Source organism: Homo sapiens, chromosome 20 (genome assembly GCF_000001405.40).
Source record: "Homo sapiens chromosome 20, GRCh38.p14 Primary Assembly".
In the NCBI taxonomy this organism is placed as follows: domain Eukaryota; kingdom Metazoa; phylum Chordata; class Mammalia; order Primates; family Hominidae; genus Homo; species Homo sapiens.
The window spans coordinates 267511-291772 of NC_000020.11; the positions used below are offsets into that span (position 1 = coordinate 267511).

The 24262-nt window shown below is 48.4% G+C and overlaps 1 protein-coding gene across 7 annotated transcripts, besides 2 other annotated features; it reads right to left on the reverse strand.

Moving 5' to 3' along the window:
* Positions 1–3352: 3352 nt before the first annotated feature.
* Positions 3353–23240, reverse strand: C20orf96 (chromosome 20 open reading frame 96). Of its 7 annotated transcripts, none has more exons than NM_153269.3 (11): positions 23081–23240; positions 22749–22797; positions 22049–22166; positions 16453–16571; positions 11662–11820; positions 10820–10919; positions 9716–9873; positions 9534–9635; positions 9283–9369; positions 8458–8576; positions 3353–3757 (listed from the first exon to the last, which is right to left on the reverse strand). In NM_153269.3, the coding sequence occupies exons 1-11, from the start codon at positions 23098–23100 to the stop codon at positions 3697–3699; spliced, it is 1092 nt and encodes a 363-aa protein (NP_695001.2). In that variant the 5' UTR covers positions 23101–23240; the 3' UTR covers positions 3353–3696. The 7 variants fall into 7 exon arrangements, with proteins under 7 accessions (NP_695001.2, NP_542138.1, XP_047295853.1 ...); NM_080571.2 differs by having other exon boundaries at positions 23077–23240; XM_047439897.1 differs by lacking the exon at positions 23081–23240 and adding an exon at positions 22905–23020.
* Positions 22623–22692: an enhancer, noted in NCBI's record as "active region_17432". NCBI's record gives its function as "activates an Ori minimal core promoter by ATAC-STARR-seq in GM12878 lymphoblastoid cells {active_cell/tissue: GM12878}" and the evidence as "EXISTENCE:reporter gene assay evidence [ECO:0000049][PMID:35858748]".
* Positions 22753–22882: an enhancer, noted in NCBI's record as "active region_17433". NCBI's record gives its function as "activates an Ori minimal core promoter by ATAC-STARR-seq in GM12878 lymphoblastoid cells {active_cell/tissue: GM12878}" and the evidence as "EXISTENCE:reporter gene assay evidence [ECO:0000049][PMID:35858748]".
* Positions 23241–24262: the final 1022 nt, after the last annotated feature.

The following is a 24262-nucleotide window of genomic DNA, read 5'->3' on the forward strand; positions in this document are numbered from 1 at the left end:
TGGGTGCAACATTCACTATCCGGGTAATGGGGCACTAGAAGCCCACTCCACCACTATGCAATATATGTATTTGTACCCCGTAAATCTATAAAAATAAAAACTACATTAAAAATAATAATAATGTCTGGTCATCTAAATAGTACCTCTACAGCTTATTAAGTGCTCTGGAGACGTCCCAGTTGCCTGTCCTTCCCATTAAAGGTGATATCCAGTGCTGATTTCCCCTTCAACCTCGGGTTCCCATAAACCTCTTCTTTCTCACTCCTGCTGCCCTCCGGTACTCCAATAAAGAATGATAGATGGGCCGGGAGCAGTGGCTCACGCCTGTAATCCCAGCACTTTGGGAGGCCAAGGCGGATGGATCACCTGAGGTCAGGAGTTGGAGACCAGCCTGGTCAACATGGTGAAACCCCGTTTCTACTAAAATACAAAAATTAGCTGGGCATGGTGGCGGGCCTCAGTAATCCCAGCTACTCAGGAGGCTGAGGCAGGAGAATCGCTTGAACCCGGGGGCAGAAGTTGCAGTGAGCAGAGATTGTGCCACTGCACTCCAACCTGGGCGACAGAGCAAGACTCCGTCTCAAAAAAGAAAAAAAGAAAAGAAACAGTCCCAGTATGCATCCATGTGCATGTGCATGCAGGTGTATCTGCCTGTGAGAGCTGCGCACGCGGCTCTGAGTACCTGGGAAGACACCCATGTACAGATGCTGTACATGTGCGGGGTCACTCTCTGGCGCATTCGGAGGCATGAGGGCTACGTGCAATGCGAGGGAACCTATGTCCAGGCTTCCTTTCTTGGTTTTCCTCCTCTGAACTCATGCATCCCTTCACAAACAGTCCAGCTCCTGGCTAAAAACCTATGTGTGATTTTTCAGCCCAAACACAGGCAATGACAGGTTTTACCTGGCAGGCCTCACAGCTGAGTCGTGCACAGCTGATGCGTTGCAGTCTTTAAAGACAGTTGCAGACACAGACTCAGGCCTCCTGGACAGTCGACCTCTCACACACATCTCCGCTCCCAACCCAAGTCTTCATTCAGACACGTCTTCATTGCAGTGGGGTAGGCCTTCGGCCAGGACCTCCTTATCTTGGGGAGTGGAGAATCCTTGAAGACACTTTCCTCCATGCTGACTCAGAAGTTTTCCCACTCTCCCTTCCCCACCCCATCCCTGGCCCCCAGGTCCGTACAACTTCAGGAGCCTTTTTGTTGGAAGCTTTTCTGCAGTGAGACCAACCCCACACCTGTGCTCATCCACCCGACCCCAGTTGGCATCATTCTATGAGGAAATTAGAACAGGTGGATCTGTGTTCTACAAAATAAAACAAACCAGGTTCTCTGGTTTAGCCTCTTTCTTGTACTGTAATAATAAGAGATTTGGGGCTTGGCTATTACTTGCTTTGACTTTTTTTGTTTTGAGACAGGGTTTCGCTCTGTCACCCAGGCTGGAGTGCAGTGGTGCGATCTCGGCTCACTGCAACCTCCGCCTCCTGGGCTCAAGCAATCCTCCCACCTCAGTCTCCCTAGTAGCTAGGACTACAGGTGCACACCATCATGCCCAGCTAATTTTTATATTTTTTATAGAGATGGGGTTTCACCATGTTGTCCAGTCTGGTCTCAAATTCCTGAGATCAAGCAACCCACTGGCCTCAGCCTCCCAAAGTGTGAGGATTACAGGCCTGAGCCACCATGCCGGGCCATCATTAATCAGCTACTCCAGCACTTAGCAGTTCAGCTCTCTCCTGCTCAGCTGAGCTCCTGATTGTACAGTGGTTAAGAGCAAACTGCCTCTGCCACTTAGTAACCTGGTGACTTGAAAAATCACTTTGCCTTTTCATCCTTTGGTTTCTTCATCTGTAAAATGAAAATAACAATAAACAATACCTACTTCACAGGGTGGTTGTTGTGAGGGTGTAGTGAGTTGATGTATGTAAAGCATAACGTAGGTTCCATTGAAGTGTTTGCTATTGTGTTCAACAGGGTCCATTTCTGCTTGGAGATCCACATGGCTCTGGGGAGTACCTGTTGGCTCAGCCTAGGTCACGTGTTCCACCTTAACCATCCCTTCCCTGCTCCAAGGTAGAGCCCGTGACCTGAACTAAACCAGCAGGCACGCTCCACCTCCAACACCGGCTCAAGGTGGGCGTGTAATATAAGCTGGTTCAATTAGAATGAATCTTTTTTTTTTTTTTTTAAAGACGGAGTCTCATCCCCCATCACCCAGACTGGAGAGCAGTGGCACAATCTCAGCTCACTGCAACCTCTGCCTCCCAGGTTCAAGCAATTATCCTGCTTCAGCCTCCTGAGTAGCTGGGATTACAGGTGCCTGCTGCCACGCCCAGCTCATTTTTGTATTTTTAGTAGACACAGGGTGTTGCCATGTTGGCCAGGATGGTCTCGAACTCCTGACCTCAAGTGATCCACCCACCTCGGCCTCCCAAAGTGCTAGGATTACAGGCGTGAACCACTGTGCCCAGCCCAATTACAGTGAATCTTAATACACTGGCTGAAAATTCTGGGACACAGCCAGTCTCTCTCTTTCCAACAGGACATGTACAAGGACCTGTACAACCCTGGGAGATGCTGGCATATTGGGGCCACAAGCAGTGCTGACCTGAAGAAAAGGGCAACACCTCAGAAAACAAAGTAGATAAATAGAAACCAAGTCCTTGGTGCCATCACTTGATTTCTGGACAAAGCCTCACCTAAGCTATTTATTGACCTGAGCCCTTCATAGTTTAGGCCAATGTGATTTGGTTGTTTTGTTACCTGTAACCAAGTATCTTAACACAAAGTGGATCTGTGAGTGACCAGAGCCTCTTGGGGGTTGTAGCAATCTAGTAGTTGGCCCAGAAAGGCCAACTCTGAGATGGAGTGTAGGGTGCAGAATGTTGAGTAATGAGTGCTCTTGGAATCAACAACTGAGGAAGACAGAAATATGCAGGATTGGGCACAGGGAGAAGTTCAGCTGCAGTGCAGGCCCAAGGGTAGTTGCAGCTGAGCCTTCAGGAAGTTCTGGAGCCAGAGTAGCCCTTCTGAGTTGTTCCAAGCACTGAAGGCCTAGCAAGTTCCAGGGGTATTAAAATCAATAAGCCTGTCAGCCCCGACAATGCCCTCAATAGGTCTGGGCACAGATTGGAGAGAAGCTGGGCTCCCACTGCACCAGGAGGGAGTGGCCCAGAGCCACTGAGCCATGGAGACTCAGGCAGGGGGTTGCTCCAGCACTTCTTCTGGAGAAGTTTTGAGCCCCAGATGCAGTTAGCACAGTTGCCCGCCCCTTATCATAAGACGAAGTCCGTTCCCACCACATCTTCTGCAAGACCTAGCTGGGGACCCCGAGACACTGGCAAAAAAGCAAATGTAAATCCAGCTTTATTGGTAAAAAAGGAATAGCAGATTTAATCAGAAATTCCCACCTGGCCCAGCAGCACCAACCAGAAAGAAGGGAAGAAGAGAGGAAAAAACCACAGGAAGAAAGAAAGGAGGGAGGGAGGGAGAGGAGGAAGGAAGGAGGAGGGAAGGGAAGGGGGGAAGAAGGGAGGGAGGGAGGGAGGGAAAGAAAGAGGGAGGAAGGGCAGAGGGAGCAGGGAGACTGTAGATCAGGGTCTGAATGGAGATCCGGTCCTGGAAGTAAATGATCCAAGGCTCCAGGTGCTGGGAAGAGAGCAGGAGGGGAGGGCGGCCCATGGCACTGCCATCTAGAAGGGTAGTGGCTCTTCCACAGGAATGTTGAGGATGACATCCATGTCTGGGGTGCACCTGGTGGGAGGCAGCACAGAAGGCCATGAGAGACCAGAGGTGGCGGTGTGGGAGCACCCACTCAGAGGAGCCCTGCTCTTTAGAACTCTGGTACGTACTTGGGTTGGGGGGCAATCCCAAAATACAATCTGTGATCTATCTGTGACCTCAAAGCCCAACTGTGCATACACAAGCATACACACACACACACACACACACACACACACACACACATACACACACATCAAAAATGGAAAAGAAATGAGTTTGGCAGGACAAATGTTCCCCTGACAAGTCTGAGGTCAAGAGGGAGCAGGAACTCAGCTCTGAAATGCTGAGGGCCCTCAAGATGATCACTGGCTTTGGAGTGAGGATGACAGGTTTGATAACTTTGACCTGTGTCACCTTGAGCAAGCTATTTCTACTCTCCCAGCCTCACTCCTTCAGTTGGCACTTAAGTGAAAAGCACTCATTAAGTCCCAGACCCCAAGTGAGCCTCAGTTTCCTCATCTGTCAAATGGGTTTAATATTCTAACCTCAGTCATTGGTGGAAAGATTAAATGAGACCATGCCAGCAGGTAATAAGTGCTCAGTAAATGACAGGCATTATTATTTCCATGAAAGTAGCAAGAGAGATGGATTCCCATCAGCAATATATTCCCCATTGCAGGGACCAGCACAAATATTTAAGAGGCTGAAGGATTACATTCTGTTTCACTCTCTTTTCTCTCTTCCAAGGAGACCATCCTCTCTCATGGTTTCAATAATCTGCTGATACACATGAAGTATTTAGGCAGGAAATGTCAGGATACTTGCAATTTACAAATACTATTAAAAAAATGAACATGAAACCAACATAGAAAAAAAAAAAATTTCTAAATCTAGATGGGCAAAACTGGCTATTCATTATATCATTCTCTCTTCTTTATATTTGAAATTTTTCATAATAATAGTAAAAAAAAAAAGTTCATCTCTATGCTGGCAACACCTAAATTTCTACTTCCAGCCAATATCTGTCCTCTGAGGTCTACACTCATCTTGTCAATTGCCCACCCAATGACTCCACCTTGGCACCTCATATAAATCAAACTTACTGTCCAAGTCAACTGTATGGTTTTTGTTTTGTTTTGTTTTGTTTGAGACATGGTCTCACTCGGTCACCCAGGCTGGAATGCAGTGGTGCAATCACAGCTCACTGCAGCCTGGAACTCCTCAATCGATCCTCCTGCCTCCCAAATAGCTGGGACCACAGGCACGTGCCACCACATCTGGCTAATTTTTTAATTTTTTGTAGAGATGGAGGTCTCACTATGTTGTCCCCCTGGTCTCGAACTCCCAGCCTCAAGCGATCCTTCTTCCTCATCCTCCTAAAGCACTGGGATTACAGGTGTGAGCCACCATGCCTGCCTCCAAATAAACTTTTTGACTGTGCCTACATACACATCCCTCACCCCGCCCCAGCCTTCCCAATCTCTGCATTTGACATCACCACCACCCCATTATAAAAGTCAGGAACCCAGGGGTTATTCTTGATACCTCCCTTTCCTGTACTTCCCAAGTCATGCAAGTCCTTCTTACTTTCCTAAATATTTCTCCAATCTATCTATTTCTCCCATTTCTTCTGCCACACTCTTGGCCAGGCCACTTCCCATGTTCCCCTGGACAACTGCCCTCACACCCACTAGAATTCCAGCTGCCATTCTGGCTCCTTGCCAATCTCATCCCCATGCTCTTTTCTTTTCTTTTAAGAAAGAGTCTTGCTCTATTAAGCAGGCTGGAAGGCAGTAGCACCATCTTGGCTCACTACAACCTCTGTCTCTAGGGCTCAAGCAATCCTCCTGCCTTAGCCTTCACTGCAGCTGGGACTACAGGCGCACGCCACCACGCCTGGCTAACTTTTGTATTTTTTGTAGAGATGGGGTTTCACCATGTTGCCCAAGCTGGTCTTGAACTCCTGGGCTCAAGCAATCCTCCCACCTTGGCCTCCCAAAACGCTGAGATTACAGGCATGAGCCACCACACCCAGCCCACCATGCTCTTTTCAAACTGACTTTTTTGGAATACAAATCTGATCATGTGGCTTAAGATCCTTTGCTTCTGGGATCAGGCAGAACATCTGGGCCTACAGGGCACTGCATGGAGGTCCCTAGGGGCTGAGTTGCCCTGCTCCCTTCCCGCCACTCTCCCTGTCACTCTGCATTCCAACCACTCTGGCCTCACTCAGCTCCGTGTCAATGCCAAGTTCCTTCCAACCATAGCTCCTTCACAGCTCAAGGCTCAACATGTGGTTGGTTCATAGAGCAGTAACATAAGCATCACCGGGTAGCTTCTTAGAAATGCAGAATCAGGCTGGGCATGGTGGTTCACACCTGTAATCCCAGCACTTTGGGAGGCCAAGGCAGGCAGATCACTTGAGGTCAGGAGTTTGAGACCAGCCTGGCCAACATGGCAAAACCCCGTTTCTACTAAAAAACATAAAAATTAGCCAGGCATGGTGGTGCACACCTGTAATCCCAGCTACTCGGGAGGCTGAGACAAGAGAATCACTTGAACCCAGGAGGCGGAGGTTGCAGTGAGCTGAGATGGTGCCAGTGCACTCCAGCCTGGGAGACAGAGCTAGACTCTGTCTCAAGAAGAAGGAAGGAAGAAAGGAAGGAAGGGAGGGAGGGAGGGAGGGAGGGAGGGAGGGAGGGGAAAGAAAGAAAGAAGGAAGAAAGAAAAAGAAAGAAAAGAGAAAGACAGAGAGAGAAAGAAAGAAAGAAAAAGAAAAGAGAGAAAGGAAGGAATGAAGGAAGGAAAGAAAGAAAAGAAAAGAAAAAAGAAATGTAGATTCATGAGCCCCACTGAGACCTACTGACTTGGAATCTGCTTTTTAACGCGATCTCCAGGTGTTTCCTGGGCATGTTCCAGTTGGAGAGGCTCTGCTTAACAGTGTGCCATTTCTACTTTTTAGGAGGGAAAATGTGCTTCCTTGCTCCTGGTGTTCCCTTCCACGTGGAAGGGCATCCATGAGTGTATTGCTCCTGGCCTCTCTCTGCCCCCTTAAATTCTGCTTTTGGAAAGGGGGTATGACCACCAGAATGGTGAGTGTGAGGAGAGGAAGGGGACACAGGGAGCCCAGTCCCTTTCTCTCTCAGCAGCAAGAAACCCGAAAGGACTCCACTCTTCTCTGCCCCAAGGCCTGGCTCCACGTGGGTCCAGCTCCACCATGATCGGGTGGTTCAATTTGCCTAATTCTGGGTTCACTATTCAGAGGCCAACACAGTCTCTAAAATCAGCTTTACCAGAATAAAGGTGATAACCTGGCCCACATGCACCTTACCCCTTTCAGTCTCATTCACTGTGTTCAGAGTTCAGGTAAAGACAAGTGACTATTTATTACGTCCCCCGGAGACCCTGGCACCACCGCCTAGAATTGCTCTTCCTTCAGCTCCCCCATCAGTCTCTTTCACCTAGTGAATTTCTATGCATCCTTCAAGCCTCAGTTCAAATGTCACATCCTCAGGAAAACCTTCCTTGACTGCCCAGACTTGCTGTCCTAACAGTTGCTTTCTTTTTTCTTTTTTTTTTAATTAAAAAAAAATTTTTTTTTAGATGGAGTCTCGCTCTGTCACCCAGACTGGAATGCAGTGGCACAATCTCGGCTGACCGCAACCTCCGCCTTCCAGGTTCAAGCAATTCTCTGCCTCAGCCTCCCGAGTAGCTGGGATTACAGGCACCCGCCACCATGCCCAGCTAGTTTTTGTATTTTTAGTAGAGACAGGGTTTCATCATCTTGGCCAGGCTGGTCTTGAACTCCTGACCTCGTGATCCACCGGCCTTGGCCTCCCAAATTGCTGGGATTACAGGCGTGAGCCACTGCACCCAGCTCCTAAGAGTCACTTTTGCAGTGGCATGTACTCTACTCAGCAGCTCTGGGCTCTGCTGCAACTCCACATTTATTTGTGGCTCATTATCGACTCATGTCCAGTTCCCTCTTTAGTTCCATGAGGGCGGGACCAAGGACTGTTCTCATTCACATGGTGCCTGGCATTCAGAGGCACTTCATAAATCCAATAGTATTTTGTTTTGGGGGCGGGGGGCGGTTTAGAAATAGAAGAAAAGGAAGAAATGGCGATAGGAGAGGAGAAGGAAGGAAAACGACAGGAGGGAGAGACAGATGAAGAAGAAAAATTAAAGAATTTGCAAATGCTAGGCTCTGCCACACATGGTCCTGTGGTGTCATCAAGGAGAGGTAAGCCTGGGGGACCCCCAACCCAACCGCAGAGGGCTTGCCCCAAGGAAGGGCAGGCAAAGAATTGGTTTCTGGGGCCCAGAAACCTGCCAAGTGAACAGGACAGACTTCTCTCCTTGTAGAGTGTCTTCCAGGCTATTCTTCCCTGAAGCCAACCACCCCACTCAACTCTGCCTTCCTCAAAAACCCAGAAGTGGAAGGCTGTACCCACTTGGTTGACACATGGGATCTGGGAACTAGAAGGGCCCTTAGAGATTACACCACCCAGCCTGCTGTGTACAGATGGGAATTGGAGGCCTTTGCAGAGATGGGAAAGGTCACATCTGCCCCTGGTCAGTGGCAGATCCAAGGTGGAAACCCAGGACCGCCCCTCCCTCCCTGTACAGGGTTCTGCCATCCACACCAGGCTGCCTTCCCCAAGAACAGAGAGCCTCCGTGAGCTCAGAGTGTGACTGGTTTAAGAGGCAGTGGCAAAAAGATCACATACTTGGGTCTCCGAAGCAGAACATCCTCAAATATGACCTCTCGGGGTTCCCGGGTCTGGGCTTGGAGCTCTTCCACCTCGGCCCTTAATACAGGCATGTTCTCCTCAAACTGGTCAATAATCTGAGAGGAAAGGCACAGCAGGGGAGAAGGGAGAGGCAAATGGCCCCCAACCAAAGGGAGAAAGGCCAAAATGAACGAGGAGCAAAGCTATCTGGGGAAATGGTATGGGTTCTGTCACTGGGACTTGCTGGACTCCAGGGAGGGGACTTCCCCATGCAAGGTGCGGCTGGCTTCCAAGTTAGTGACAATATTCAGTGGTGCTGAAACAGGTGAGGGATCATGGAGAATGGAGACAGGTTACAAAGTGGCGGGGAATGCTCAATCATGGGAATGAATGGAGGCTGGCAGAGATAGTGAAGGGCATACACATTAAAAACCAGTGAAGAGGCAAGATAATGAAAATTAATTCAAGAAGGCAGTGATGGTGAAGTTCATTAACACTGATAATGGGTGGTGGGCAGTAACAAGAATCAAGGGGTAAAGATGCACGGTGGTTAATGGCTGAATAGGTGATGTTTGGTGATGGTTGTAAATGGGTCATTAGCCAGCATTGCTGGCTAATGAGGCAAGGCCTAGGTCAGTGCCAATCGCCTTCCCAGATGAAAGACAAGTGACAGTAATGGCACCGGCAAGGAGGGAGGCCAACACCAGAGTCAGAGACCTCCTGAGCGCCAGATCAGGAGAAGCCTGACTCATTCCCACAGGCCGTGGGGACTGCCCATCCACTGCTTCCCTACAGGGACCACCACCTTCCTTGCCCACGCACTTCTCTGAACCTTTGCATGCATTTCAGGAAGTCCTGGCTTTCCCACATCTTCTGTAGGAGAGCCTCTTCATAGGGACGCTGGGTTTCCTGTGGAGGAAGAAGAGGTCTGGCCCCCAGGTGCCTCTTCCTGGGCAGCAGAACATGGTAGAGACCGATGGGGCTGCAGTGGGCCTGGAGGCAGAGGATGGGGAAGAGGGCGGGGTGGGGGTGAGACCTGGATCCCCGCTCCCACACAGCAACTGGCTACTCACCGCCACCACAGAACTCAGAATTTTTTTCTTCTTCTTCTGAATCTTGTCAGACAAGGATTCCAGGACCTTTCTGCGCATCTCACCGAGGTCATCCAGCTCATCCTGGGAGCCAGCAGAAGGGTGTTGGTCACCAGTCCTGCCTCCCACACAGTCTGGTGGGAGAGGGGCAGGGGCTCCCCTACCTGCTGGCTGTCCTTAACCTGCTGCAGCTGGCGCATAAGAGTGGAGATCTGGACAGACTTGATGGAATACTCATGGTCCATGTAAGTGCTCAGGAAGTTCACTTCCTCCTGGGTCTTCTCAATCTTGGCATTCAGCTGCTCTGCCTGCTGCTCAAGATCTGGGGAGGGGTTAGGGAGGTCAGCAGGGACAGGAGGCAAGACCTTCCCTCAAGCACCTGGGCCCCAGGAGGCCCAGGAGGCAAGGTCTCCTTGGCCAGTAACTGGGGTCTGGGCTGAGGTGAGCTCACACAGGGCTGGGAGGTGGTTAAAAGTTAAGGCTCTAGACGGTTTTCCACCCCTGCAGGAGAAGAGGCAATGCTGGGTAGGAAAAAGGAAGGGAATTGGTGCATGATCCCTAGACTAGTCCCCACTCTGCCACTGACTTGCCGGGTGGCTCTCGCCAAGACTGTCCCTCTCCAGACTTCAGTCTCCTCAGAGACACACTCAAGGAAGTGAGACCAGGCAGATGGGGTGACAGTGGCTCCCAAGACACAACCCATGGCAGGATTAAGACAAAGTCTATCCTGTCTTCCTCCAGAGAGACCCCCAATGTCTGGGGTTGACTGATCCACCACCCCTCTGCTCAGCAGGTGTGTAGTCTGCTCAGGGAAAAGGAACCACAGGCCAGGCAGGATGGAAGCCAGGAGACCCAGGTTCTAGCCCAGCCACTGACTCCCAGAAGGACCTTGGCAGGAAACAGAGCCAGGCTAGGATTGGATTCTGGCTCCTAGCTATATAACCTTCCACAAGCTACTGCACCTCTCTTAGCCTCGGTTTCCTCATCTGTAAAATGGGAGGACAGCTTCCCTGCCTCCAAGTAGTTGCAATGACTGAGTGTGTGCCTGTAACAATGCAGACATTGGTAGAGACCCAGATACGGGGCCTGGAAAGAGCTAAGTGTTGGGTAACTATGCTATTCGCTCTGTATCTTAGCATTCCCATCTGCCAAGAAGAGAGCCAATGGGGCTGAGGGTTTCTGAATGGCAAGTACAAGGTGAATGCTCTGCTGCTGACCTCCCCAAGGTGCCAGGGGGGAGGGTCAAGGAATTTGCCAGGGATTCTTACAGCTCATCTTGCATTTCTTCTTTTCTTCCCACTCCTGAAGCTCAGATTTCAATTGCTGCAGCCTCTTCTTGTTTGAGTACTCCAAGATGTCGATGATGGTCTGCGGGAGGGGTGGAGTCAACTCACCCACAGGCTCTGCTGGCTCTCAGAGGCGGCCACCCAGCACTTCCTCAGAGGAGTCCCCAGTCCCAACCTCACTCCCAGAAACCTGACCAGAGGCTAATCGGGACAGTAACAGTGTCCACCCATAGGGTTGTTGTAAGGACTATATAAAGACATACAGATCGCTTGCTATTACACGTAGAGGTGTTTGCAAATGCTGTTGGTGGTAGCAGCGACCTCTGTCGCACCGGTACAGTATGTGCCCGGTGAACCCCCTCTGGGACGGGTGCTATGGTGCCGCATTTCACAGAGCTCGGGGAGGCAAAGTTAACTAAAAGTCTCCCGGCCAGTGAGTGCTGGCGCGCTGGGATGAAACCCATCTCGGTCCTCTTGCAAAGCCCAGGTGAGGGGAGTGAAGGGTGAAGAAATGCGTCTTCCAGGTGGAGGAAGCACCACGTGCAGTGGGCGGGGAAAGGCAGGAGAGGGCGCGCGAGTGCGCGGAGGGAGGGCGGGACGGAGGGAGGGAGGGCGGGACGGAGGGAGGGAGGGAGGGACGGAGGGCGGGACGGCGGGAGGGCGGGACGGAGGGACGGAGGGAGGGCGGGACGGAGGGCGGGAGGGCGGGACGGAGGGAGGGAGGGAGGGAGGGACGGAGGGCGGGACGGAGGGACGGAGGGAGGGAGGGAGGGACGGAGGTTGGGACGGAGGGACGGAGGGCGGGCGGATGCCGCGGGTCTCACCGCCAGGGTGTCCTGCTGCTGCAGCAGGGCCCGCACGTGCAGGGTCGTGCTGTTCTCCATCTCCTGGATGGTCTCGATCAGCTCCCGGTTGAGCTTGCTGAGGAAGTTCTCACGGCTTCGGAGCTCTCGCAGAGCGGCCCTCCCGCTCCTGAGCGAGGTCTGCGGGCGGAGGGAAGAGCAGAGAGGCGGCGCTGCGCCCTGCCCGGCCTGAGCCCCCGAAAGCCCGTGGACCCGCCGCCCCGGCCCCGCCAGACGCCCGCCCCCGTGCGGCCTCCTGCTGGTAAACGCGGCCCAAGCTGGGCGGTTCCCCATTGTCTGCGCCGCCCGGGAGCTCCGGGACTCTCATCCGTTCGGAAACGCACGTGTACCCATCATCTCACATCCCTGAGGTGCGGGTGCATCTACAGTTGGTGGCGTGTCACCAACTAATCAACAAATATATTATTAGTGGGTAAATAAAGATGTGCCTTCATATCAATGGCTTCTCAGAATCAATGAAATATAGAAATAATAGTAAGGGCCGGGCGGGGTGGCTCACGTCTATAATCCCAGCACTTTGGGAGGCCAAGGTGGGCCGATCACGAGGTCAAGAGTTCGAGACCAGCCTGACCAACATGGTGAAACCCCGTCTCCACTAAAAATACAAAAATTAGCCGAGCGTGGTGGCGCGTGCCTGTAATGCCAGCTACTGGGGAGGCTGAGGCAGGAGAATCGCTTGAACCTGGGAGGCGGAGGTTGCAGTGAGCGAGATGGCGCCACTGCTCTCCAGCCTGGGCGACAGAGGAAGATTCCTGTCCCAATAATAATAATAATAATAAACGCCCCAGGTAGGTTAAGAAGGTGGCAGAGCGACCGCCATGTCTGGAGGAGAAGCAGGGGAGGCAAAATGGATGATAAACGTCAGCATTTCCGGGCAGGCCGCGGAGTCAATGAGTACTCTCATTTCACACAACAGCCCCCAGTGGAACAAGGAGGGTCTGAGGGTTAAGTGACTCGCCTAAGGTTACACCCAGCAGGTGCATAAAACCTACAGTAACAACAACAACAACAATTGTACTTCCCTAAGGTTACACCCAGCAGGTGCATAAAACCTACAGTAACAATAACAACAACAATTGTACTCCCCTAAGGTTACACCCAGCAGGTGCATAAAACCTACAGTAACAATAACAACAACAATTGTACTCCCCTAAGGTTACACCCAGCAGGTGCATAAAACCTACAGTAACAATAACAACAACAATTGCTGAGGGCCCTCTACATGCCAGGCCAGGTGCTGTGCCTTGCTCTGCAGGTGGCACATGGTATCTGTTCACCCTCCAACAGCTTTATGTTTACTAACTCTATTTTGCTGATAAATGGAGGCTCAGAGAGTTTAATGACTTGCCCAGTGTCACACAGTCAAGAAGTGGCAGGGCTGGAACTGGAAAGCCAGACTTCTGAATCCCAATGTCTGTCTTTCCGTTATGCTAAAACAAGAACTGAGTAGCCTTAAAACTGCAAGGCATGGCTGAACCACGTAGTGACTAAGACTTGGATGTTGAACCTAGACACACCTTGGTTCAAATCCCAGCTCAGCCACTTACCATCTAAGAGAATCTGGGCAAGTTAGTTAATGTCTCAGAGCCTCCTTATACTCATTCTAAAGGTAAGGAAACTAGTATCTGTTTTAGAGAACTGCCGTAAAATATAAATGAGATTGGACAGGTGCGGTGACTCACGCCTGTAATCCCAACACTTTGCGAGGCCCAGATGGGAGGATCACTCAAGGCCAGGAGTTCAAGACCAGCCTGGGCAACATAGTGAGACCTCATTTCTACAAAAAGTAAACAAAATTCGCTGGGTGTGGTGGTGTACACCTACAGTCCTAGCTACTCAGGAGTCTGAGGTGGGAGGAATGTTTGAGCCCAGAAGATCGAGGCTGCAGTAAGTCAAGATTATGCCACCACACTCCAGCCCGGGTAACACAGCAAGAACTTGTCTCTAAAAGTAAATAAATAAATAAATAAATACAATTTTAAAAAATTAAAATGTTCGCTGGGCATGGTGGTGTGCACCTATAGTCCTAGCTACTTGGGAGGCTGAGGCAGGAGGATCTCTTGAGCCCAGGAGTTTACGGCTGCAGTGAGCTATGATTATGCCATTTCACTTTAGCCTGGGTGACAGAGCAAGACCCTGTCTTTAAATTCACAATCAAGCCACTTAGTGAGAGTGCACTCATGTGCACTCAGTGAACAATAGCTGATACTACTGTCTCTGGCTCTAACCCTCTACCCCTGCCATAAATATTTGCTCTTTCATTTGTTCCTGTACTTCCTCATTTCTCCGTCCTTTACTAAAAACGACCCCTTCCTAGCCCTCAGCTCCTTTATTTCTCATATAACAGTAATCATGCTGATGTGCTGAGTGCTTGCCATGTGGCTGATACTGTACTAAGCACTTCATGCGCACTGCAGCACATCACCCTCACAGCAAGACTAAGAGATGGGCACTATTATTAGGCCAACTTTATAAAAGTGGACAGCAGTCGGGCACAGTGGTTCACACCTGTAATCCCAGCACTTTGGAAGAGCAAGGTGGAAGGACTACTTGAGCCCAGGAGTTAGAGCCCTGGGCAACAAAGGGAGATCCCATCTCTACGAAAATTAGCTGGGCATGATAGTGCATGTCTATAGTCCCAACTACTCCGAGAGGCTGAGGTGGGAGGATCACCTGGGCTCGGAAGGTCCAGGCTGCAGTGAGCCATGATCATGCCACTGCGCTCCAGCCTGGATGACACAGCGAGACCCTGTCTCAATCAGTCAATGTGGACAGCAAGGATTAAATTCAGTAACTTATTCAAGGTCACACATAGCAGAGCTGTCATCCTTGAAGTCTTGCCTCCTAGCCACTCCACTACCTTGTCTCCACATCTCCAGACCAAAATACCCAGAAGTATCTTGTGAAAAATGTTATTCTCCAAGTCCTGGGCCCACTGAAACAGCAGCACTAGGGTTTCAGTTCAAATGTCACCCACCTTAGCAGCCTCTCGTTAGCACCTAAACAATTACTGCCACACTCTCCTCCGTGCCTCCAGCCCCCTAACCTTATTCTTAGGCTTCTCTTTAGCTCTTATCATCATTTCAAATATCTTTCTCTTGTTGATTGTCAGTCTCCCCCATCCAATAGAATGGAAGTCCCCTAAGATCAGAGGTCACATTACTGGTGAACCCTCATACTCAGAATAGAACCTGGCACATGGTAGGTGCTCAATCAATATTTGTTGATTCATTAAATGAATGAAAGATTGCAAGAGACAGTATTAAGAACTGGACTGGTTAGGAGCACAAGTTTTAGAGCCAAATTGTCCACGTTCAGCTTCTACATCAATCAAAAACACCTAAACCCCTCTAAAGTTAGGATAAAAATAACAGAAATGGCTGGAAGCGGTGGCTCACACCTATAATCCCAGCACTTTGGGAGGCCAAGGCGGGCAGATCACCTAAGGTCAGGAGTTGGAGACCAGCCTGGCCAATATGGTGAAACCCCATCTCTACTAACAATACAAAAAATTAGCTGGGCGTGGTGGTGGGCGCCTGTAATCCCAGGTACTCAGGAGGCTGAGGCAGGAGACTCACTCAAACCTGGGAGGTGGAGGTTGCAGTGACCTGAGATCTTGCCACTGCACTCCAGCCTGGGTGACGGAGTGAAACTCTGTCTCAAAAAAAAATTTTTTTAAAAACTAAGAGAAATATGAGTTCCTCCTTTAAGAATACTGGGCTACCTCTAAACCATTTTGCAAGATAAAAGGTTAAAGGGGAAAAAAAGGTTTCAAAGCAAATTATATTTTCCCTTGTTCTTTATATAGTAGTCATTGTTCATTGAGCTATTAAAAATTTTCTTGAAGAATTATTCTATAGTATTTTGTAGTCTTTATAATACTTAGTATTTTACTTTCTGCTATGTATGCTAAGGACTTGTCTTCCTTTAGGCATTTCAAATACTTTGAGACATTGTTCAGATAATTACAGAAGCCATAAAACAATGTATAGCGAGGAAATTAATTACCTACAATTGTAGCGATTGATGTGAAAATTTTCATTGTCAGTTTCTAAGGCTTGCTTCAAAGTACACTGTAAGAAAATTTAATTTACTGGAATTTTTTTTTTTTGAGATGAAGTCTCACTCTGTCTCCCAGGCTGGAGTGCAGTGGCACCATCTCAGCTCACTGCAACCTCTGCCTCCCAGGTTCAAGCCGGTCTCCTGCCTCAGCCTCCCGAGTAGCTGGGACTACAGGTGCGTGCTACCACACCCAGCTAATTTTTGTAGTTTGAGTAGAAACGGGGTTTCACCACGTTGGCCAGGCTGGTCTCGAACTCCTGACGTCAAATGATCCACCCACCTAGACCTCCCAAAGTGCTGGGATTATAGGCATGAGCCACCACACCCGGCCAAGTTGCTGCAAATTTTAAGATAAATAAGCCACTAGATCGTGTTCCTAATGCAACAAAATAACAAGCAATTCTGATTATTTCTTGAGTCTTAAACAGAACAGCAAACGCTTTGTTTAACTGGCTTTGACCCCTGATCCTGCCATTTCCTGGCTGTGTGACCTGGTGCATGTCATTTATCTCCCTGCGCCTCAGTTTCCCGGTTTGTAAAATAGGAACAAGGATAAGCGTGCTCACACAGTTCCTGTGAGGAAGAAATGAGTCAAGTCTGGCACCCACAAAGTTCTCAGCACATGTTTGCTACAGCCATCATCCCCGTCCCTGTCCTGGGCCCAGTGTCCAGGGAAGATGTGCCTCATACCTTCATTAACCAGATTTTGGCATGCATCTTCCCAGGGTCCAACTTCCGCCTTCTATGTAGTTCTCTTGGATTCTTCGGCTGGCAGCTTGTCACCACCGTAGTGGGCTTGAAGTGAAACACTAGGGGTAGACAGGAAAGGACAGGGAGAGAGTGAGGGTCCCGGAAGGCCTGAGGCCAGGTTCCCGGGAGTGCACCATTAATGAGAGGAGGGCCAGACCCCAGCTCCACCCTCTGACTGCCTTATAATGTGACACTAGACCGAGGGTGAAATTCACACCCTTCACTAAGCTCCCAGGACAGACTCTGGGCCTCAATATGAGGGAGGGACAAGCCCAGGTGAAAGCAGTAACTATGGACATGGACAGAGGGGAGGGCAGGGCAGCCAGGAACCCCGCTCTCAAATGTCCAGTCAGAAAGAGAGTCGGGAACTCCCACTCCTTGTGTCTTTCCAGTAGCTACTGCAGCACAGGACAGCAGAAAGACCAGAGTCTGGCAGGCCTGAATCCAAATCCCTGCTGTCCCACCAACCTGGCTGGCAGAAGGCCTGATGGGGTAGGGGTTAAGAGCAAGAACTAATGAGCCAGACAGTCCAAGTTTAAATCCAGGCTCTTGGCCAGGCATGGCGGCTCACGCCTGTAATCTCAACACTTTGGGAGGCCAAGGCGGGCGGATCACCTGTGGTCAACAGTTCAAGATCAGCCTGGCCAACATGGTGAAACCCTGTCTCTATTAAAAATACAAAAAATGAGATGGACATGATGATGGGCGCCTGTAATCCCAGCTACTTGGGAGGCTGAGGCAAGAGAATCGTTTGAACTCGGGAGGCGGAGGTTGCAGTGGTGCGAGATCCCGCCACTGCACTCCAGCCTGGGTGACAGAGACTCTATCTCAAAAAATATATATAATCATAAAAATAAATTTTTAAAAATTCCAGGTTCTGCCTTCTACTAGCTGCGTGACCTTGAGCAAGTCAAATGACCTCTGTGTCCCTCCATTCGTCCACCTATAAAATGGGAATAATCATCACGCCCACCTCATAGAGTCTTCCTGAAGATGAAAGAAGTTACTATACCTTAAAGGTGTTTGGAATAGTGCCTGATGCATATTCAGTGCTGGATACACATTACCAGTTGTTACTCTTACTTCTAGTGACCTGAGAAGTGGGACCACAACACCAGACGAAGGCACAGCAGCCACGCAAAACTCCAACTGGCTGTCTCTGAAACACTCTAAGGGCTGTGGTTCTGCCAGATAAGAGTACAGGCATTTGGGGGGCATATTCTCAGAATCCCTGTTTCCTCTCTGCCTGTCGTGCAATGACATGGGACAAATCGCCCAGGTGGATCCAGCTGTACTCTCAGTCCTCACCAAAATCCCTGCTTCAGGTACAACCCAGCTCATCTGGGAGAGATACTAATCTCTTTAATAGATCAATGTCCTTCATCCTGAGAAATGCTGGCATTAACTATGGAGATGATTAAGTAAATTAATTTTGTGTTTAATTTATAAATTACCTGTATATATCCGGTTTTTAGTTGTATTGTATAAGAGATAGAATGATTAATAGGTTAATCTTGTGATTCTAATTTTAAAAGTGTAAGTGGGATTTTGATTTAGATTTAAGTTGAAAGGTTTAATACACTCTTATTAGCTCCGTTGCCCAGGCTGGTGTTCAATGGCGAGATCTCGGCTCACTGCTACTTCTGCCTCCCAGATTCAAGCAATTCTCCTGCCTCAGCCTCCTGAATAGCTGGGATAACAGGTGCCCGCCACCACACCCAGCTAATTTTTTAATTTTTAGTAGAGATGCGGTTTTGCCATGTTGGCCAGGCTGGTCCTGACCTCAGGGGATCCACCTGCCTCAGCCTCCCAAAGTGCTGGGATTACAGGTGTGAGCCACCGCGCCCGGCCAGATTACCCATATTTAGAAGTTTAAGTATTAGATATACAAGAATTATGTAAATACCCAATGGTTTTTGTTAATCAGACAAGTGAACCATTTGAAAATGAAAATGAATACGTTAAAATTTAAGATGTGGCTTAAAAGGTTTAGGAGAATTTAATTAACCAAGTTCCAAAACCCCCTTACAAGTGTTTATAAAAATTGTAAGATTCTTAAGTTGAATTTAAATGCTTAAGGAAGATTTGCAGTTTTAATAATGAGGATTTATTTTCATTATTGGTAGTAGCCCTAATTTATCTTTTTTTAAATTAAATCTTTTATTACAAGATAGTTCAGATTCACAAGCAGTTTTAAGAAATAATACGGAGGGGCTGGCCGTGGTGGCTCACGCCTGTAATCCCAGCACTTTGGGAGGCTGAGGCATGTGGATCACCTGAGGTTAGGAGTTCAAGATCAGCCTGGCGAACATGGTGAAACCCCATCTCTACTAAAAATACAAAATTTAGCCAGGTGTGGTGGTGCACGCCTGTAATCCCAGCTACTTGGGAGGCTGAGGCAGGGGAATCGCTTGAACCCGGGAGTTGGAGGTTACAGTGAGCTGAGATCACACCACTGTACTCCAGCCTGGGTAAGAGAGACAGAGAGAGAGAGAGACTCTGTCTGAAAAAAAGGAAAGGAAAGGAGAGGAGAGGAGAGGGGAGGGGAAGGGAGGGGAGAGGAAAAGGAAAAGAAAAAGAAAAAGAAAAAGAAAGGAAAGAAAAGGAAACAGAGGTAGTCTATGTACCCTTTACCCAGTTTCTCCCAGTGGCAACATCCTGCAAAAGTACGGTACAATATCACAACCAGGATATTGACATTAAGATGAGCAAGATATAGGACTTTCCCATAACCACAAGGATCCTGCCTGTCGCCTTCTACAACCACACCCACTTCCCTCCCCTTACCACCCTCCTCACAACTCTGTCCCTAACCCCTGCAATCACTAATCTGCTCTCCATTTCTATAATTTTGTGATCCCCAGAAGGTTATATAAATGGAATCATCCAGTATGTAACTGTGGGGATTGGCTTTTTTTTACTTGGCATAATTCTCTGGAGATTCATCCAAGTTGTTGAATATATCAATAGTTCTTTCCTGTTTATCGCTGTATAGTTTTCCACGGTGGGGATACACCATAGGTTGTTTAAACATTCACCCACTGAGGGACTTCAAGGTTGTTTCCAGTTTTGAGGAATTATGAACGAGGCTGCTATGAACATTCACATACTGGCTTTTGTGTGAATATAAGTTTTCATTTCTCTGGAATAAATGCCCAAGAGTAAAACTGCTGGGTCGGATTACTAGGAAGTGCATGTTTCATGTTGTTAGAAATGGCCACACTTGTTTCCAGAGAGGCTGCATCATTTTACCTTCCCACCAGCAATTGCGCACAATCTGACGTCTCCTCTTTGCTAGCATTTGGTGTTATCACTATTTTTTTATTTTAGCCATTTCGATAGGTGTGCAGTGATATCTCACTGTGGCTTAATTTGCATTGCCCCAATGGCTAATGATGTTGAACATCTTTTTAATGTGCTTATCTGACATCTGTATATCTGCTTTGGTGAAATGTCTCTTCATGTCTTTTTCCCATTGCCTAACTGAATTGTCTGTTTCACTGTTGAGTTTTTACTGTTACTGATATATTCTACATAGTAGTCCTTTGTCAGATACATGGTTTGCAAATATTTTCTCCAAGTCTATAGCTTGTCTTTTCATCCTCCTAAAAAGGTCTTTCATAAGGCCAGGTGCAGTGGCTCTCACCTATAATCCCAGCACTTTGGGAGGCTGAGGCGGGCAGATTACTTGAGGTCACAAGTTCGAGACCAGCCTGTCTCTACTAAAAATACAAAAATTAGCCAGGCATGGTGGCACACGCCTTCAGTCCCAGCTACTCGGGAGGCTAAGGCAGGAGAATCGCTTGAACCCGGGAGACAGAGTTTGCAGTGAGCTGAGATCGCACCACTGCACCCTGGCCTGAGCAACAAAGCGAGACTCCTTCTCAAAAAAAAAAAAAAAAAAAAAAGTCTTTCACAGAACAAAATTTTTAATTTTGATGCAGTCCAATTCATCTATTTTTCTTTTATGGGTCAAGCTTTTGGTGTGATACCTAAGAACTCTTCACTTGGCCCTAGGCCCCAAAGATTTTTCTCTCCTGTTTTCTTCTAAAAGTTTTTCAGTTTCACATTTTACATTTAATTTCTATTTTATTTTATCTTTGAGCTAATTTTTATATTCGTTGTTAAATCATTTCTTTCTTTTTCTTTTTCTTTTTTTTTTTTTTTTTTTTTTTGCCTATGGGTGTCCAATTGCTCCAGCGCCACCCATGGAAAAGGCTTTCTTCCTCCACTGAATTGTTTTTCCACTTTCTGAAAAACCCATTGGGAATATTGGTATGGATTTATTCCCTTTTCCTCACTGGGAAGTGTTGGCAGTGTCCAGCAGGTAGCTGATCCTTCATTCCCTGCTTGGTGGTGCTGATTCCCCAACTGGGATAGTGCTGGCAGGGATGAGTGGGGAGGTCATCTTCTAACCCCCACCTGGCAGAAGACAGTGCTCTGACTCTCTCTCTAGGGTAGTGTCAACAGAGTCTAGCAGTGACAAGATTTCATGAAGTGTCATGAGGTGGGACTCATCACCTCTGGGCTTCACTCCCCTCCCCCAGCCTACCTATGTCAGTAGAGCCTGGTGGGAGCCTGAGCCTCTATCCCCACCCAGCATCAGTGAGGTAAAATAAGGTAGTGAGATGCAGGGCAACTTGGCATTCTACTCTCCCATCTCCTTTCTGTGTTTCAGTGTTGCCCACAGGGGAGCTGATCTAACATTACTTACTCAGAGGCAATGAGGTGGTATGAGTGATTTTATACATAGATGTATACATAAGTATGCTAGATTGTCTATGAAGTTCATTTCAGGATACCAAAGAAATATTACAAAATATTTGTTATTAATTCTCACAACAATCCTAGGTGGTATTAGTGTCCCCATTTCACAAATGAGAAAACCAAGGCTCAGAGAGATGAATGATTTTTCCAAGTGAGTAAATGGCAGAGCCAAAATCTGACCCCATGTCTGCCTGAGCCTGACCCAAGGCCTCGGAACTCCCCTGTAAAGCATGATAATGATGTGGCAGAGTTTATTCTACGATTTCACCAAACCTTGTTTTCTTTTCCTCCTGGAAAAACAGATGGACTACATTTCCCACCTTCCCTTGTGGTTAGCAGAGGTCATGTGGCTAAATTATGGCCCCTGAAACATGAGTAGGAGTAACATTTGTCACTTCAAATCTGGACCCCCCCCAAAAAAAATGCCCACATAATTGTCCATGTTCTTGTTCTCTCTCTTCCCTCTATGCCAGCTGGATGCAAAAGTATCCAGCAGAAGACTTCAAGACCTTACAAAATATCAGACCCACAAGGTCAAAGGAACCTGGATCCCTGAATGACCATGTGGAACAGAATCCCTCCTTCCTCAGATCCACAAATGTACTGTGGCATAAATGAGATATAAACTTCTATATCAATACTTGCAATTTGGGCATTGTTTATTACATCAGTTAGCCTACCCTAATATAAGTGGTGTCACCAAGAGCCAAAAGCAGCCACTCTATCCTGTCTCCAACCCCCACACCAGCTCCCAGGTGCCTCCGCCCACCTGGTTGGACCCTAGTCAAAGTCTTCATTTTGCTTGTATGAAGGCTGTTGGCTTGTTGGACTGGAGGCAGAGTAGATGGCTTGGTTTCCTGCTTGGACTGCTGCCATGGAACATAATCCTACAAAATATACAATCAGTCACATAGCACCATGAGTTTATATCCCAGCTCTACCCTTTTCAGATATCTGTGACCCCAAGCAAGTGACTTGACCTCTCCTGAGCCTCAATCTTCTCATCTGTAAAGTGGATCTAATAATAAAACCTACTTCTGTGGATTGGCGCAAGAATTCTGAGAGATATTTATGAAGCATGTGGTAAGTGCTCCATAAATGTTAGCTATCACTTTTTTAAATCAGCCAGCCAGAATTTACTAAGCACATCCAGGCTGTGAGGTGCTAAGAACTGTGAGAAACAGAAGGCATGGAAAAGACGCAGACATCCACCCTCAGGAAACCAGAGCAGCAATCAGATGAATAAGAGAGCAGCATAATATACCCTTACATTCTGATAAGACAGTGAGAGGAGAAAAATGAGGTTCTGAGGCTTGCTCTGGGTCCCACAGCAAAGTGTGACCCGGCTGGGACTGGAATTCGGGTCTCCAGCCTATATCCGCGGAGCAGTCACGACCGTGAGAGTGGAGAGCAGGTGGACTGCAGGGCCAGCGAGCCTCCCACCCCAGCCCTAGTCCCCCAAGACTCACCGGAACCTGGAACTCCTGGACTATGGAGTGAGTCCCAGAGTGCTTGGGTCTGGAAAGAGTTGGGAAGGGAAAGAACTTCCATTATCCCCAGCCCAAGGGGCAGCAAGCAGCAATTCGAAACAGGATTGGAGTCTCGAACCAGAAACTGCAGTTTACCGGGGACAATAGCCCCGCGGGAGTGGGGCGGGGCCAAGGAGATGTGGGCGGGGAGAGGACGGGGGTCAGAAGACCGAGGGCGACCTCGAGGCGAGGGCGGGACAGCGGCGGGGTGTGAAGTACGCATGCGTATTCCGCCTTTCTTCCAATTTTTTTTTTTTTTTTTTTTTACCTACTTTTGTAAGACATGCGCCATTGGGGAAAATGGAAGAGAAGTTGCGAGTCTGTGAGACCCTGATCTTCTGGTATAACTACTCGGCTTTTCCAACTTCCTTGTCTCAGTGTAGATCGCGCGGTAACCCAGGCCACTCAGAAGTCCCGAGACCCGATGCTTTCGCCAGCGTCTCGGTCTCCAAGGAAACGCGACGCCGCCTACCGAGCGCCTAAAGGGACTAACCTCTCAAGGCAAAATCTAGTTCGGCCCGCTTTTCAATTTTCAAATTCCCTTCAGTTTGCTCTGCCCATAATCCTAAAATATGATATCATATTTCTCCACTCTCATCAAACTTCCACCATTTCCTTCGCCATCTTCACTCTTGGCTAATGAGTTTGCTTCCAATTTTACTAAGAAAATTGTGGGAATCAGTAAACCCACAAGTTCATGGCATCATTTACTCGCCTACTTGCCTCCCTCCCGTAACTACGTATAAACTGCCTACTAAGACCAATTCCTACATTTATGCACCGAATCCTATCCTCTCACGTTTTCTCAAAGATATTGGCCGAGCAGTTCTCCCCGTTTTTTCCTCCTCTTTTCTCTCTCCTTTGTATCATCAGTATACCAACGTATTTTTAAATTTCTTCTATTTAAAAAGATTGTCCACAGCCGGACACGGTGGCTCATGCATATAAGCATGAGAGCACTTTGGGAGGCCAGAGGTGGGAAGATCGCTTGAGCCAGAAAGGTCCAGTCTGCAGTGAGCCACGATCCAGCCACTGCATTCCAGCCTGGTTGACAGAGCAAGACCCTATCTCTAAATAAATAAACAAACCACTTCCCCTCCAGCCAGCTCCCATTTCTGCTTCATTTTAAAGCAAAACTCCTAGAGAGGTTTGCCTACTCTGTTTCCCATTTTTTTCCCTCCTCTCAATCAGGCTTTCACTCCCCACTGAAACTGCCCTCGTCAACATCATTGGTGACCTCCACTTTGCTAAACCCCATGGTCACTTCTAGGTCCTCCCTTTATTTGGCCTGTCTGCAGCATTTGACACAACAGATCACTCCCTCCCCTGAAACACTTTCTTAACTTAGTATCCAGGAAACCACTCTTGAGTTGCTTCCTGCCTCCTTTTCAGTCTCCTTTGCTGGTTCCTCCTCTTCTCCCTTTATCATTGTAGTATCCCAGGACTCAGTCCCA